Consider the following 13,690-nt stretch of genomic DNA (forward strand, 5'->3'; position numbering starts at 1 on the left):
CTCGTCTCATGGAGCCCCATTTCCACGTGTCTTGGTAGTTGTTCTTCCAGACCTGGCTTGGATCTGTCCTTTCCCACAAAGCCACGTGGATTCCTTCCATCTGTCCTTGGCCTGCCTTGCAGCCTGGCCTCTTGTTGCCAGTTGCCCGGGGCGTGGGGGTGGTCTGGGTCCTCTCGGGACTCAGCTGCTCTCTTGGCAGCAAATGCACTCAGATCTCTTCACCTGGCAAAGCTTACTCGTCATTTATGACTCAGCTAAGATGTCACCTTCTCCTAGAAAGCTTCCTGGTCCCCTAAGTAGCACTAGCTACTCCTTCTGTTAGCACAGTTTATTTATTCATGCTTTTGTACTAGGACTCAAGGCATTGTTTTGTGAATACTCTGTTTATATGGCCATTTTTCCTTCTGAAGTTCAAGTTCTTCAAAGACAGGGACAATGTCTTTTTCATGTCATATCCCCAGGCCCTGGCATTCATGTTCAGGAGTGTTGAATGAATTCCCAAACTGGAGGCAGTCTTGAACTCCCATACTGCTCATGCCTGGATTCTCTCCCTCCTTTTCTTACAGATGCCTTGTCTTGTTTTGCCTTATAGCATATAAGCTCTGAAGAGTGGAGTCTGTGTGTGACTTGTCCTAACTGCAGGGCTGCCATGATGTCTTTGTGCACAGTAGGTGCTTGGTAAACAGCTTAGGTTGGAAGATTACTAGGGTTATCTTCAAATCAGAGAGAGATTGAGGCACAAAGAGCCCGCTGACTTGCTCCTGATCATACAGTGGCTAGGCAGAGCCAGGGTAGTTTGGAGGAGTGCTGGCTGTAGTCCCTGGGCTCTTTCATACACATTCTTCTGCTTTTCCTTTTTTTGATATTCCTCGTGACTTAGGAATGGGTCCGCACTAGAGCCTTTCCCAGTACCTTGCTGTTTTGTCTTATGCCCTGGCCCTCCCAGATGTCTACCCTGCAGATGGGTTTAAAACCCACGGACCAGTGTCAAGGATGGTTTTTGTTAATCACTTGTGCTTTTGCTCTCTCAAGTTGCCTTAACTTCTGCTCTTGCTCAGGCCTGCGGTGCCCCCTGGCCCTGTTTCTCTCCAGCTCCCAGTAGTACATGCCGTCTCTCCGTGTGGATCCCAGAGGAATGCGCCTCTGGGATCTGCTATAGCTGCGGGATTCGGACTCACTTAATACTTCATTTCTTGGCTTGACCTCCTGTTGGGTATGGGTGTCAGACTACTTTTCCTTTCCAGCTGAACTGCTGTGTGTCTGCCCTTAGAAGATCATGGTCTATATGGATGTTGAGATCATAGAAGATGGATAAACACACGGGTGGTGGGGGAAGGTTAGGTCATGCTGGTTCACCAAGTTTAACTTGTATCATTATTATTAATTTGAGATGTGGGTCAAACATGGTAGGTACAAGGCAGAAAAATCTCATTGTCTTGATGCTTGCAGAACAAATAAGTGATTTATCCGTTATCATCATCACCACCACCACCATTCTCGGTGGGCTTACTGTGTGTCAGATGTACGGGTTACTTACTTGTGTCATCTCAACCTTGGAGACAACCCAGTCAGGTTGGCAGTATTACTGTGCCTATTTTCCTCATGAGGAACTTGATGCTTGGTGAGGTGAAGTGACTTGCCCAAGGCCACATACAGCCAGGAAAAGTGGAGGGCCTGGAAGTCAAATGGGGTCTGCCTGACTCCACAGCCTGTGGATGAGTTTACTGCATTTGACCTCTGTGGGCTCTACTGCATCTGTGCATATTCTCTTTTCTGCCGAGGAAGCAGAGGGACCCAGTGGGGGCCCCTCCACACCCACTTGGTTCCCACCGAGATTCTCCAGTGCCTTTGAACCTGAGGCAGTAGTAAAATGCAGCTTCCTCCTACCCACCCACCCCGCTCCAGCCTAGAGGCCTCAAAACAAGCAGCCCCTGAAATGGGGATGAGGCCGGAAAGATGGCGAATTTGCAGGGCTGGGTTCTTGAACTTTGCTGGTAAGTAGCAGCGGTCCTGTGAACCTTTTTGACCTCAAGATGAGAGAGGTGGGGCCTCTGGGAACTTTGGATCTGTCTGTGATTTCCAGGGGGTAATTTCTAGTAACACCTTTTAGGGCTTTCTTTGGCTCTTCCGGTTTTGGGGCACATTGCATAGTGACAAGTTGTGCTGGCAGCCAAGTTACCTCTACACTGGCTGTGAACAAGAGCAATTTATAATAAACAATACTTGCCCCCATTTGGCTTTAGCATATGTTTACATGAAACTTCCTGGCAGATTGCTTTTCCTGGGACATTTGCAGGGAGACCAGATCATCACAGCCCCTTTTCTAAACTTGGCTACTTTCCCCTTCCTCCCAGTCTCTTGTGGCTGGTCACCTAGTATGTAGCCCAGCGGGGCAGCTATGCCGTGCTCTAGCTCCCTGTCTGGGGCCAAGTAGGATGGGACTACCGGGGTGAATGAGCAGTCATCAATCCTGGCGCTTCTTGGTTGATCGGAAACTTGCTGGCAGTGACTAATGTGGAGACTCATTAGGCTAGGAGGAACTGGCTTTGGTCTTGACCTCACCCACTGTTTACCTTTCTCTTGACTGTGTGAGTGGTGAGCTCATCCCGGCGCCATCTCAGAGTCCTTCCAGCAGGCATTTATTGAACACCTAATGTGCCTTGCTCTCTGGGGCTGAAGGGAAGGTATGGGAAAGAAGGCCCAGCCCACTGGGTTTTACTGTATTGTCCAGAAGAGATGCATGTACATATCAAGCCCCAAGACCAATGCTTTAAGTGATAGGGTGTTTCGAGTTCAGAGGAGTATATTACTTCCCTATTGCCACTGTAACAAATTCTGCAATCTTAGTGGCTTAAATCAACACACATTTGTTGTCTTAAAGTTCTGGAGGTAAGAAGTCAGACTGGGTTTGCATGGCTGGGTTCCTTCTGCAGGATCCAGGGCAGAATTTGTTTCCTTGCTCTTCCTAGCTTCCCAGGCTGCCTGTATCCTTGGCTTGTGGCCCCTTCCTCCATCTTCAAAGCCAGCAGTGTAGCATCTTCCAGTTCCCTTCTCTCTGTCCCTCTGCTTTTATTGTCAAACTTCTGTCTGACTCTGACTCCTGCCGGATTCCTCTTACGAGGAGCCTTATGATCACATCAGGCCCACCGGGCTAATCCAGGATAATCTTCCATCTTAAAATCCTTGATTTGATCACATCTGCCTTCTATGTGTCCCTTTTGCCATATAAGGTGACATTCATAGGTTGAGGGTCAGGCTGTAGATATCCTTGGGTGGGGGCATTATTCAGCTTACACTAGTGTGTATGTTGGGAAATGGTTGAGGAGGCCTTTCTCTGAAGGAGATGATTGCTAAATGTGTATAGGCAGAGGGTCTGGGGACACATTCCAGGTTTGGGAGACAACATGGGCACATGTTGGGTAGGTGGGGACAGGGGGGTGTAGATGAACAGCCCTCCCTCTGAGCTAGGTGCCTGGCTTTCCTTTCCTTCCAAGGTCAGGCCGAGGGAACTTTCTGGACTTCAGTTGCAGGCCCAGGCTTTCTCCTGGAGTCCATGTGGGAGGGCTCCCCTGGCAACACAATCCTTTTCCTTCCTGGCAGCTGTGGTCCTGCTGCAAGGGACCCAGCCAGACTACATGGGCCCTGCTGCTCTTAGGTGGTGGGAAAATGCATTCCTGAGGGAAAATGAATTTGAACCAGCTGGGCTGGGTTTGGGTGGCCCAGAAACCTTGGTCACACTGTTGGCACAGCCTCTGCAGGCAGTCACGTTGCTCACATGCACACAAAGTCACTCCCCGGGGAGCCTTCTCTCGCGCTTTATTACGGTGCTCAGGGCTGCTGAATCTCCAGGAGGGATGGGAGGGGTCAGAGTGAGGAAACTGCTGGGAAAGGGGGCAAGGGTCCCCTAGGAGGGGGTCCTCCCCTCCCCCAGGAGAGCCCCTAGGGTGCAGGGAGCAGTGGGAACACACAGGCAAGAGCTGGGCCTCTGGGGACAGTTTGGGAGCCGGGTGGCCCAGAGTGGTGCCGAGCTGTGGGTAAGAGCACAGCCGAGGGATTTCACCATCTTAGTTGAGATCTTAGTTGAGAGAGATCTCTCTCTGGAAGTTCACATTGCTCCCACACTGTTTTTTCTGGAAAAGTTATAGCTTTTCTCTATTGCTTCCTTCTGGCACCCTTTTTGAAGGGATTCCGAAAGTGCCGTCTTGGGGATTGTTTGGGGGAAGGACAAAAGCCGCTGGGCCACCCTGGCTTTGAGAGCCCTTGGAATGTTTAGCAGATGATGTAGTTGAGGGATGAAGGCCACACAGGAGGGCTGCGCCATCGCCGTTCCTGAGTGAGGACTTTCTTTCTTCCTTTCTTTTTTTGTTTTTGAGATGGAGTTTCGCTCTCATTGCCTAGGCTGGAGTGCAGTGGTGCGATCTCAGCTCACTGCAACCTCCTGGGTTCAAGCAATTCTCCTGCCTCAGCCTCGCGAGTAGCTGGGATTACAGGTGCATGCCACCACACCCGGCTAATTTTTGTATTTTTAGTAGAGATGGGGTTTCCTCATATTGGTCAGGCTGGTCTCAAACTCCTCTCAAACTCCTGACCAAAGGTGATCCGCCCACCTCGGCCTCCCAAAGTGCTGGGATTACAGGCGTGAGCCACTGCGCCTGGCCACGAGGACTTTCCCTGTGTGCAGGTGCCGTGTGGATTCCTCCCCAGCTGGGGCCTTTGGAGCAGCTGCCCCATGGGGACCCTCCTTGCTCGTTTTCTGCCTGGCTCCAAAGCAGCTGTGGTGCGGTGTGGCTTCTCATTCTTGAGTGTGGGGTGAAGGGCAGTGGATGAAATGACGACATCAGCCTCTGAACCAGAATGTTTTCTGGGGAGTCTGGTGTGCCCACCAGAGGGTTCACCCCCAAGTGTCCTCTTCCCCTCTCCTGCCTTGTCCTCAACTCACTGGCCTGGGAGGGAGAGCCAGTGGGAGTGGGCTGACTCCTGGGCATTCCCCAAGACCAGAGACACAGAGTTCCAGAAGGCTCCCCGTAATCCTGTGGGATAGGGGAGGAGCAGGGTCCCATTGCCTCAGTGACAGGAGACCTGAGGACAGAACACTGAGGCTGTTGTGGGTTATGAGGGTGTGCCTTTTTTCTTTCCTGTTGGGTCAGAATGGGGCATGGTGCTGAGGCGTAGTGGGGAGGGGAAGGATGTGGCCCCAGTCTGCTGTGCTCGGAATCCAGGGGCCTGCTGTAGCCTGCCTGCCTCTGCACCTGCAATATTCAGGGAAGCTCCTCCAGAGGGTAGGTGTGGGTGGAGGAAGGGTGTGGTGTGGTTTAGGCTTAAATTTAAAGAAAAAGAAAAGAAACCTCCCTCTCTCCCCCTCTTCTGCCCCTGGATCCTTAAAGGTGTATGTCTGAGCTGCTGCTTAGGCCCATCAAAAAGAAAGCCTGGCTGGGTGTGGTGGCTCACACCTGTTAATCCCAGCACTTTAGGAGGCTGAGGCAGGAGGATCGCTTGAGGTCGAGGCTGCAATGAGCTGTGATTGCACCACTGCACTCCAGCCTGGGTGACAGAGGGAGACCCTGCCTCAAAAAAAGAGAAAAGTCTTTGGGGACCTGCTCAAAGAAGGTTTCACAAGTATAGGACTTGAGAAAGAGTTTTCTTTTTTCTTTTTTTTTGAGATGGAGTCTCATGCTGTCACCCAGGCTGGAGTACAGTGGCGCGATCTCAGCTCACTGAAACATCTGCCTTCCAGGTTCAAGCGATTCTTCTGCCTCAGCCCCCCGAGTAGCTGGGATTACAGGCACCTGCCACTATGCCCAGCTAATTTTTGTATTTTTAGTAGAGATGGGGTTTCACCATGTTGGCCTGGCCAGTCTCAAACTCCTGACCTCAAGTGATCTGCCCCCCTCTGCCTCCCACAGTGCTGGGATTACAGGCGTGAGCCATCATGCCTGGCCGAGAAAGCGAGTTTTCTAGAAGACTGATTCACTGATTGATGACTGACTGGATTGATTCATGTTGCAAGATGGAAGAGGTCATGGCTGGGGCATACTTAAGAGAACTGGAGACCCGTATGTGGTAGGATGGGGTAGGCGTGGGTACCTGGTTTGAGGGTTTGGTTGCTGCCTGCCTCATCACCTCCTTCTCTGGCCTCCTACTTCCCTAGCAGACAGGGTCTTCCGAGATGTGTTTGAAGACCTGAGTTCTCATCCTGGCTTGGGGGAATCTTATAGTATGGAGTGGTGCTCTTCAGGTAGGAAGGAAAGGCTGACCCCGCCCGGGGAGCACCAGGGGAGGCACTTTAACTGTCTCTGTGGGAGTCTGAGCTACACACACATAATGGTTCCAATCCGGTGTCTTAGGGCCAGAATGCACTCCAGCTGAGTGCAGTGCACTCAGAATGCACTCTGAGAGCGATGCCTCTTATCCGTCACCATCAAACGGTGCCTCCTGACAGTCTGCACTAGTGTCCTGCTTTGTACTCAGTGCCTCATTTGTTCTTCAGCCCTCCCTTTCTTGGGCTCTTGGCTCTTTTCCAGCAAGTCCTCCTGCCCAAGAGAGAGAGAGCCTTGTGATCGTGGGTCTCCTGGTCACTACAGGGCTTCTCTCGTCATCCAAGAAGTTTATAGTCCAATCCTGGTGACCTCATACTTTCTCCCTCTTCCTTTCTGCTTACCCATGACCTGTGATCCTTTGACCGGGAATCTGTATTTTACCATATTGTTCCAGCCAGAGAATGAATGGCCAAAGGTCACATAGTAGCAGGCCCAAAAACTGCCCTAAGGAATCTTGACTCAGTCCTTCCGAGTGTCATGTCATAAGCCCCAATCCTTCAGGTCTTCATATGTCCCCTGCAGCTTATGCTGAAGCAAAGCCATGGCAGCCAGGGCTGTGACCAATCCTTTGCTTGTGGCCCTGTCTGGTGTGTAGTCCATTAGGGAGGCAGTGGGCAGGAGAGCATGAACTCTGGAGCCTCAGTGCCTGAGTTCAAGTCCAGGCTCTACCACTTACTACTTCTGTGGCCTCAGTACCTGCATGTATAAAATGAGGGTAGTAATAGAACCTACCTTCTGGAGTTGTTGCAAGGGGTTAGGCACTTTAATATATACAGAGCGCTCAGAGCATTTCAGCAGTTGGCTGTTATGCTTTGTTTTAGCCTTAGGAGATAGGAGCTTAGTTTGCAGACAGGTAGCCTATGATCAATCAGAGAGAAAACTTCTGTAAGTAGAAAAGACATATTAGTTTCTGGGTTTGAAGTGTGCTTATGTTGCTATCCTCTTACAGTGGGATCCCCAGAGAGGGACCCTCAAAAGGTCCCTTTTAGAGACAAATCTCCCTAATGGTGTGTGTGTTGGGGTAGGGGTGGGGCTGTGAGTAATCTTTTGCTTTAAGACTGTGAACTGGCTGGCTGTGAAATCCATTTGGGAGTGGGGCCGTTTCCATTTAGCTTCCCCAGAGAAGCTGACTGACCCCAGATGTGATCTGGGAAAGGTCTTAGGCTGTAAATCCCTGCCCCTTTGTTCCCTGCTGGGATGGTGGTGGTGGGTGGGTGGGGTGCCTGACTGCAGTGCACTTTGAAGGACATCAGAGTGCCACAGGGCTGGGGGTTAAGGGCTGGGGTGGAGCTTGGGTTTTTATCTGTCAGTGCTGGAATGACATGGTGTTGCCCTGCCTGCTGGTTCTGTAAAAGGCATAGCTGATTAATTGTAAAGGCCCTTTTGAGGAGGGAGGAAAAAGCAACAGCCCTACAATTCCCAGGGGGCTCTCTTCTGAGCAGCTCAAAGAGCTTTACCAAAATGATCCTGCTAATTAGCCCTCTGGGCATTGCACTGGGCTGCGGAGGGGAGCACTGGGCTGCCACTGAGTCCCCATCTGCAAGTTGAGAGGCTCATACAGAGCTCCTTGGAGGTGACCCCCTCCAGTGAGACACAGTGACAAAGTGCTGTGCTCCAGAGCATCCCGGCCAGGTTAGCGGCAGGTGGTAAGTAGGTCTTGAGGCGCTTGATCTGTACCTCAGTAAAAGCATCAGTTTGTTCACCATTGTTGTTCATTTGTTAAATTGGCCCTTAAGACCCCTGCTTTTTAGTAACTAATGGTGTAGGGCAGAGGGTCTCAAACTAGTCACACTGTCTCAGGCCAGTGCTACAGTAGGAGAAACCTGGGAGGTAGTAAGAGAACACAGAAAGAGTTCCCCAGGTTTGGGGGATATTGGAAGGTTCCTGGAGGGGGCGATGTCTAATTGGAGACCTAAAGATTGGATGTAAATTACATAGGTTGGGGGATGGTACTGTATGGGGTGGATGGGGACGAGATAACGCCAAGGCAGAGAGAACATTTGCAAAAGCCGGAGACCCAGGGGTGTTGGTTTCCAGGTTGAGGCATAGGCACAGAAAACCAGGGGTCAGTGTCAAGGGTTCCCAGAGTAATGGCAGCTTCTAGATTCTTCTCCTTGTAGCTCAAGTCTCTGCCCTTTAGTCATGTCTGGGGTCTAGTCACTTCTGAGCCCTAGAGCTAGGGGTAGAAGACTCGGGTCAGTAGGGGTGAGAGGGATGCCCAGGAACTTACTGTTTTCCTGTGAAATAGCAATGAAATGTGTACTCTGCAAAGTGGCATTGGTGAGCTCTAAGGGGTGGGCATGGGTGTTGCATGGGTGTCCCTGTCCTTCCCAAAGGCTGCAGCCTGAAGTAGTCTGGCCACTCCACCCTTCCATCCCCCGGCTGCTCCAGGTGGGCCTGCCTGTGAGCCACACCATCTGCTTTGGGAATAAAGTCCACCTGAGGCTCTGTTTGCCTCACCTGGGTGCAGTTTACTGCTTTCTCTGCTGCCCCCGCCCAGCTGTGCCAAGGGGAGCTTACAGAGACTCACTGATGGCTTAGCCCTGGGGAATTTCCTGGGGCCTGGGATGAGTCAGAGGCAGCCTGTACCAGGTGCTGGGGTGGGGCTGCGGAGTCGGGGGATAATGCTGGCTCAGCCAGTCAGTATCCAGAAAGTTTCAGGTTTGTGGTGAAGCCGCCGGTGCCCCTGAGGTTTTGCAGTCTTAGGGAGAATATTACCCCTGTTATGTGTCTTGTCTTAACATTGTAAGAACCAGATCTTTGCCCATCCCTGTACAGTGACCCCAGCACAGGCCACAGACAGGGGGGCACTTGGGAAGTTCTTCTTCACAACTGCCATTATTATCACCATATTGATGGTGTATGGAGCACGTACCCTATGCCAGGCATCATGCTCAGAGCTTTACGAACAGCAGGTGGCTTCATCTGGGAGGACACAGCCATGGGGTAGGCTGTATCCATCCTCATTTTACAGGTGAGGAGCTGAGGCTCTGAGGGACTAAGTACTGTGCCCCAGCAGTGGGGCTGGGCTGTGAATTCCTTAGAGGGTACCTGGACCACTGTGCTGGCAGGTGGACTTGGGCACCCTCATCAGTGCTCATAGAGTCTGAGAACAGGGCCCTTCTTGGGATTCAGTTTTGTTTTGTTAATTGTGTTAAATGTAAATACACATAACATAAAATTTACCATCTTCACCATTTTAAGTGTACAGTTCAGTGACAGTAGGTACATTCATATCATTGTGCAATGTCATCACTGTCTATCCACAGAACCTTTTCATCTTCTAAAACTGAACTCTGGATGCACTAAATAATACCTTCCCACCCCACCTGCCCCCACCCCTGGCAACCGTCCCTCTGTTCTGTTTCTGTGGGCATTCAGAGGTTGACCCTTCATCTGTCTGTCTTGTTGCAGAATCTCCCTGGGGTGCCCTCCCCAGGCAGCAATGCCAGGATGCCTGTGTCCACCTCCCTCCACCAGGATGGCAGCCAGGAGCGGCCGGTGAGCCTGACCTCTACCACCTCCTCGTCGGGCTCCTCCTGTGACAGTCGCAGTGCCATGGAGGAGCCCAGCAGCTCCGAGGCTCCCGCCAAGAATGGGGCAGGCTCCCTGAGAAGCCGGCATCTGCCCAACAGCAACAACAACTCCAGCAGCTGGTTGAACGTGAAGGGGCCCCTCTCCCCGTTCAACAGCCGGGCAGCGGCAGGGCCTGCACACCACAAGCTCAGCTACCTGGGCCGAGTGGTGCGGGAGATCGTGGAGACAGAGCGCATGTACGTACAGGACCTGCGCAGCATCGTGGAGGTGCGTGTCGGAGGCCTTGCGGCACAGTATTCTAGCAGAAGCCTGTTTCACCCTGGGAGGGAAGCTCTCAAAAGACCTGCTTCCCATAAAGTAGTTGGAGAACTGGGGTCTCCCACCCTCGCTGACTGCACTGTGAAAGCTGTTGACCCCTGAGGCTTCCCTAGGACCTTGGGCCAGATCAGTAGCTTGGGCCGACAGGAGTGAGCATCGTTGATAGGGTGGATCCCCAGCCTGCCTGGGAAGATGGCTCTAGAGAGCCTGTGCCACAGAGACTGAATGGAGTGAAGACATGGGCTCTGGGCCTGGCCCCATGCATCCCCTGCCCTGTTGTTTCCTGGCTGTGCGGAGCCTCAGGTTCCTCCTCTGTAAGAGGAAGCGACACCTACCTTGTAGGTGAAGGGCACGGAAGGGCAGCTGTGTGGCTGCCACTGAGGAAGCCCTCTGCCCCACTGGCTCAGGGCGTGGATTAGTTTCCTAGGGCTGCCTTAACAAATGACCACACACTGGGTGGCTTAAAACAGCAAATGTGTTCTCACTCAGTTCAGGAGGCCAGAAGTCCAAAAATCAATGTGTTGGCTGGGTTGGCTCCCTTCAGAGCCTCTGAGGGAGTAGGCATTCTATGCCTGTCATCCAGCTTCTGGGGTCCTGGCAGTCTTTGACATTGTTGGCCTGGAGATGCGGCCCAGCACCTTCCCATCACCTTTTTCTTTGTGTCTCTCTGTGTCCTCCTTCTCCTCTTATAAGGACAGCAGCCACTGGATTTGGGGCCCACCCTAAATCCTATCTGAAGTCATCTTGAGATCCTTAACTAATGGCATCCACAAAGACCTTATTTCCAAATAAAGTCACATTCTGGGGTTCCAAGTGGACATGAATTTTGGGGTGGACACTGTCTCACAGTAGGCAATGTCCGTGAAGTGGTGTTACAGCAGGGCCGAAACGAGGTGTGGCTAGGGAAGGTAGTGGGCAGGGTTGTGCCGGGGGCTAGGTTCTGACCACCTCCCTCCACGCAGGACTACCTCTTGAAGATCATTGACACACCCGGGCTGCTGAAGCCAGAACAGGTCAGCGCCCTCTTTGGGAACATAGAAAATATCTACGCGCTGAACAGGTGTGTGAATGGGCCTGACACTCACCATGTTCTGCCTGCGAGGCCCACCTCAGGGCCTAGGGAGGAACCCTGGATGTCCCTGGTCTCATGGGCCTGTGACATGTGGGCCTGGGGCCTGATCTCTGAGGACAGGGAAGGGTTGTCCATCTCTGTGCCCTGGGCTGATCTGCTTTCTCTCAAGGGCAGACGGGGAGGTAATTTGAGGTTGTGTGCATGTTGGGTCCATCCTGAGCCGGTGCCCCCTCAAGGGGCTGCTGGGCCCTACCTTGCACACTGGTTCTCTTCCCTGTGGAAGAGAACCTTCCCTGTCCTTCTCATCTTCATTTTCCATTTGCACATCTGTTAATTTCTTATCCTCCTTTCCACTGACCCCAAGGGCTCCCTGGAGATGATCTGACCTATTAGTGGATTGCACAACCCAGGCAAGACACATGTGGGAAGCCAAACAAGGCCTGACCAGGGGCTGTGTCAGGGCAAAAGGCATGGGTCTCCTGCCTGGGACCACAGACTCCCCCGGGAAAGTGCACTGCTCTGGAGGGGCAGGGCTTGAGGGAACAGCGGTGCTAGGACAGGAAGAATCGTATCCCAGGCCCCTTAAGATGGGCAGAGGGAGCTCTGGCTGTGTAAGCTGGAGAAGTCTGGGAGGGCAGGGTGCAGGGAGGACTTAGGCCAATGGTGAGGGGTTGGGAAAAGAGGAGGAGCACAGAGGGAGGAGGCAGGGAGCAGTGTTTCTAGGGGTGCCAGGACTCACCTGTCTCTCCCCATGTCCCACATCCTGGGCGCCCTGGCTCCTTTGCTAGTCCCCATTCTCTCTCCTTCACCCTTTAATCCTCTGCTTTTGTGTGTTTGACTCCTTCTGCCTGCAGAGGAGCTGTGTCCCCTCCCGAGGTGGGTATGGGGGTCCCCTCTTCATCTCCCTCTTGTTGAGCCTGTAGGTCTCCCTGACTTCCTGCTTTGTGGCTGCTTTGTGTTGGATACTTTCTGTGGTTGCTGCCTGGGGCAGGACTCCCTCTGAGGCTAGAAGCCCCAGTTCTTTAGCAAAGCAATAGGGCTGGCTGTCAGTCAGGGTTTGGGAGGTTGGGGAGGGGGCAGTGAGGGGCATTGTCCTCTGACTGCAGAGGGTACAGTGGCTGCTCTCCCCTCACCCAGCCAGCTCCTCAGAGACCTGGACAGCTGCAATAGTGACCCCGTGGCTGTGGCCAGCTGCTTTGTGGAAAGGGTAAGAAGGGCTGGGTCCTTGCCTCTGTCCTACCTTGCTGAGAGCTCAGAGAGACAAGAACTGCCAGCATAAGAGGACATCTGAGTCCTGGGGATTCCTTTCCAGGGAAAGTCCTGGGTGCTCTATCTTGAATGAGAAGGGTGTTCTGAGGGGAGCCAGGGCTGCTGGGTGGATGGGATGTCCTTGACAAATAGGTATAAAGATGGCTCTGTAGGCATTTGGGAACAGGGGACAGAGGGTGCTCTGGGGGCCAGGGGCCTATCTGCTACCACCATCTTTACTGTCAAATGAGAATCTCCCTGAAATCACTATTTTTGATCTCTTCTTAGAGCCAAGAGTTTGATATCTACACTCAGTATTGCAACAATTACCCCAAGTGAGTAATTGGGGTGAGAGGGAAGGCAGAGCCATTTGGTGAGTCCAGAGCCCCCCACTTCCTCATCCAGGCCTTCCCCAGGTGGTGACTGGCCCTTCTCCCACTCCCAGCTCCGTGGCCGCCCTGACGGAATGCATGCGGGACAAGCAGCAGGCCAAGTTCTTTCGGGACCGGCAGGAGCTGCTACAGCACTCGCTGCCCTTGGGCTCCTACCTGCTGAAGCCAGTCCAGCGCATCCTCAAGTACCACCTGCTGCTCCAGGTAGCCCCTCGGTCCTCCCAAGCACCTAGGGCCTGGGGAGGGCAGGGCCTTCGGGTCAGGGGCACCTAAGCGTCTATCTTCTGCGCAGGAAATTGCCAAGCATTTTGATGAAGAAGAGGATGGCTTTGAGGTGGTGGAGGATGCCATTGACACCATGACCTGTGTGGCCTGGTACATCAACGACATGAAGAGGAGGCATGAGCACGCGGTCCGGCTCCAGGTGCTCTGGGGCTGGGACGCTGGGGGAGGGGCAGGGCTGGGTGGGCCAGGCTTCCGCTGGGAAGAGGGACTGTGGCCACCCTGCTGGGATGAGCTGGGCAGTGGCATTGGGGGAGCCTTTGTGGCAGGGTTTGCAGAGCCTCCTAAGGCCCCAGTGGCCTGACTCTAGGGATTGGGGCCCCTCTGCTGCAGGAGATTCAGTCACTCCTCATCAACTGGAAGGGGCCCGACCTGACCACCTACGGGGAGCTTGTCCTGGAGGGCACATTCCGCGTGCATCGCGTGCGCAATGAAAGGACCTTTTTCCTCTTTGACAAAACACTGCTTATCACCAAGAAGCGGGGCGATCACTTTGTCTACAAGGGCAACATCCCGGTAACCAG

At 53.0% G+C, this 13,690-nt stretch overlaps 1 protein-coding gene across 1 annotated transcript in view, besides 3 other annotated features; it reads left to right on the forward strand.

Annotated features, from left to right (window-relative positions):
- PLEKHG3 (pleckstrin homology and RhoGEF domain containing G3) overlaps positions 1-13,690 on the forward strand; it is a 45,826-nt gene that overhangs the window by 13,438 nt on the left and 18,698 nt on the right. Inside the window, exons 2-8 of the mRNA NM_001308147.2 lie at positions 9,732-10,121; positions 11,135-11,232; positions 12,382-12,451; positions 12,781-12,827; positions 12,938-13,088; positions 13,177-13,308; positions 13,500-13,682. Coding sequence (NP_001295076.1) covers positions 9,771-10,121; positions 11,135-11,232; positions 12,382-12,451; positions 12,781-12,827; positions 12,938-13,088; positions 13,177-13,308; positions 13,500-13,682 — 1,032 coding nt within the window. The 5' untranslated portion in view covers positions 9,732-9,770. The remainder of the gene's footprint in view (positions 1-9,731; positions 10,122-11,134; positions 11,233-12,381; positions 12,452-12,780; positions 12,828-12,937; positions 13,089-13,176; positions 13,309-13,499; positions 13,683-13,690) is intronic.
- Positions 173-1,090: an enhancer, noted in NCBI's record as "H3K4me1 hESC enhancer chr14:65184752-65185669 (GRCh37/hg19 assembly coordinates)". NCBI's record gives its function as "activates a minimal SCP1, AML or CMV promoter by ChIP-STARR-seq in primed H9 embryonic stem cells {active_cell/tissue: H9 hESC(primed)}" and the evidence as "EXISTENCE:reporter gene assay evidence [ECO:0000049][PMID:30033119]".
- Positions 10,072-10,723: an enhancer, noted in NCBI's record as "H3K4me1 hESC enhancer chr14:65194651-65195302 (GRCh37/hg19 assembly coordinates)". NCBI's record gives its function as "activates a minimal SCP1, AML or CMV promoter by ChIP-STARR-seq in naive H9 embryonic stem cells {active_cell/tissue: H9 hESC(naive)}" and the evidence as "EXISTENCE:reporter gene assay evidence [ECO:0000049][PMID:30033119]".
- Positions 11,377-12,028: an enhancer, noted in NCBI's record as "H3K27ac-H3K4me1 hESC enhancer chr14:65195956-65196607 (GRCh37/hg19 assembly coordinates)". NCBI's record gives its function as "activates a minimal SCP1, AML or CMV promoter by ChIP-STARR-seq in naive H9 embryonic stem cells {active_cell/tissue: H9 hESC(naive)}" and the evidence as "EXISTENCE:reporter gene assay evidence [ECO:0000049][PMID:30033119]".

The sequence above is a fragment of the Homo sapiens genome, chromosome 14 (genome assembly GCF_000001405.40).
Source record: "Homo sapiens chromosome 14, GRCh38.p14 Primary Assembly".
NCBI lineage: Eukaryota > Metazoa > Chordata > Mammalia > Primates > Hominidae > Homo > Homo sapiens.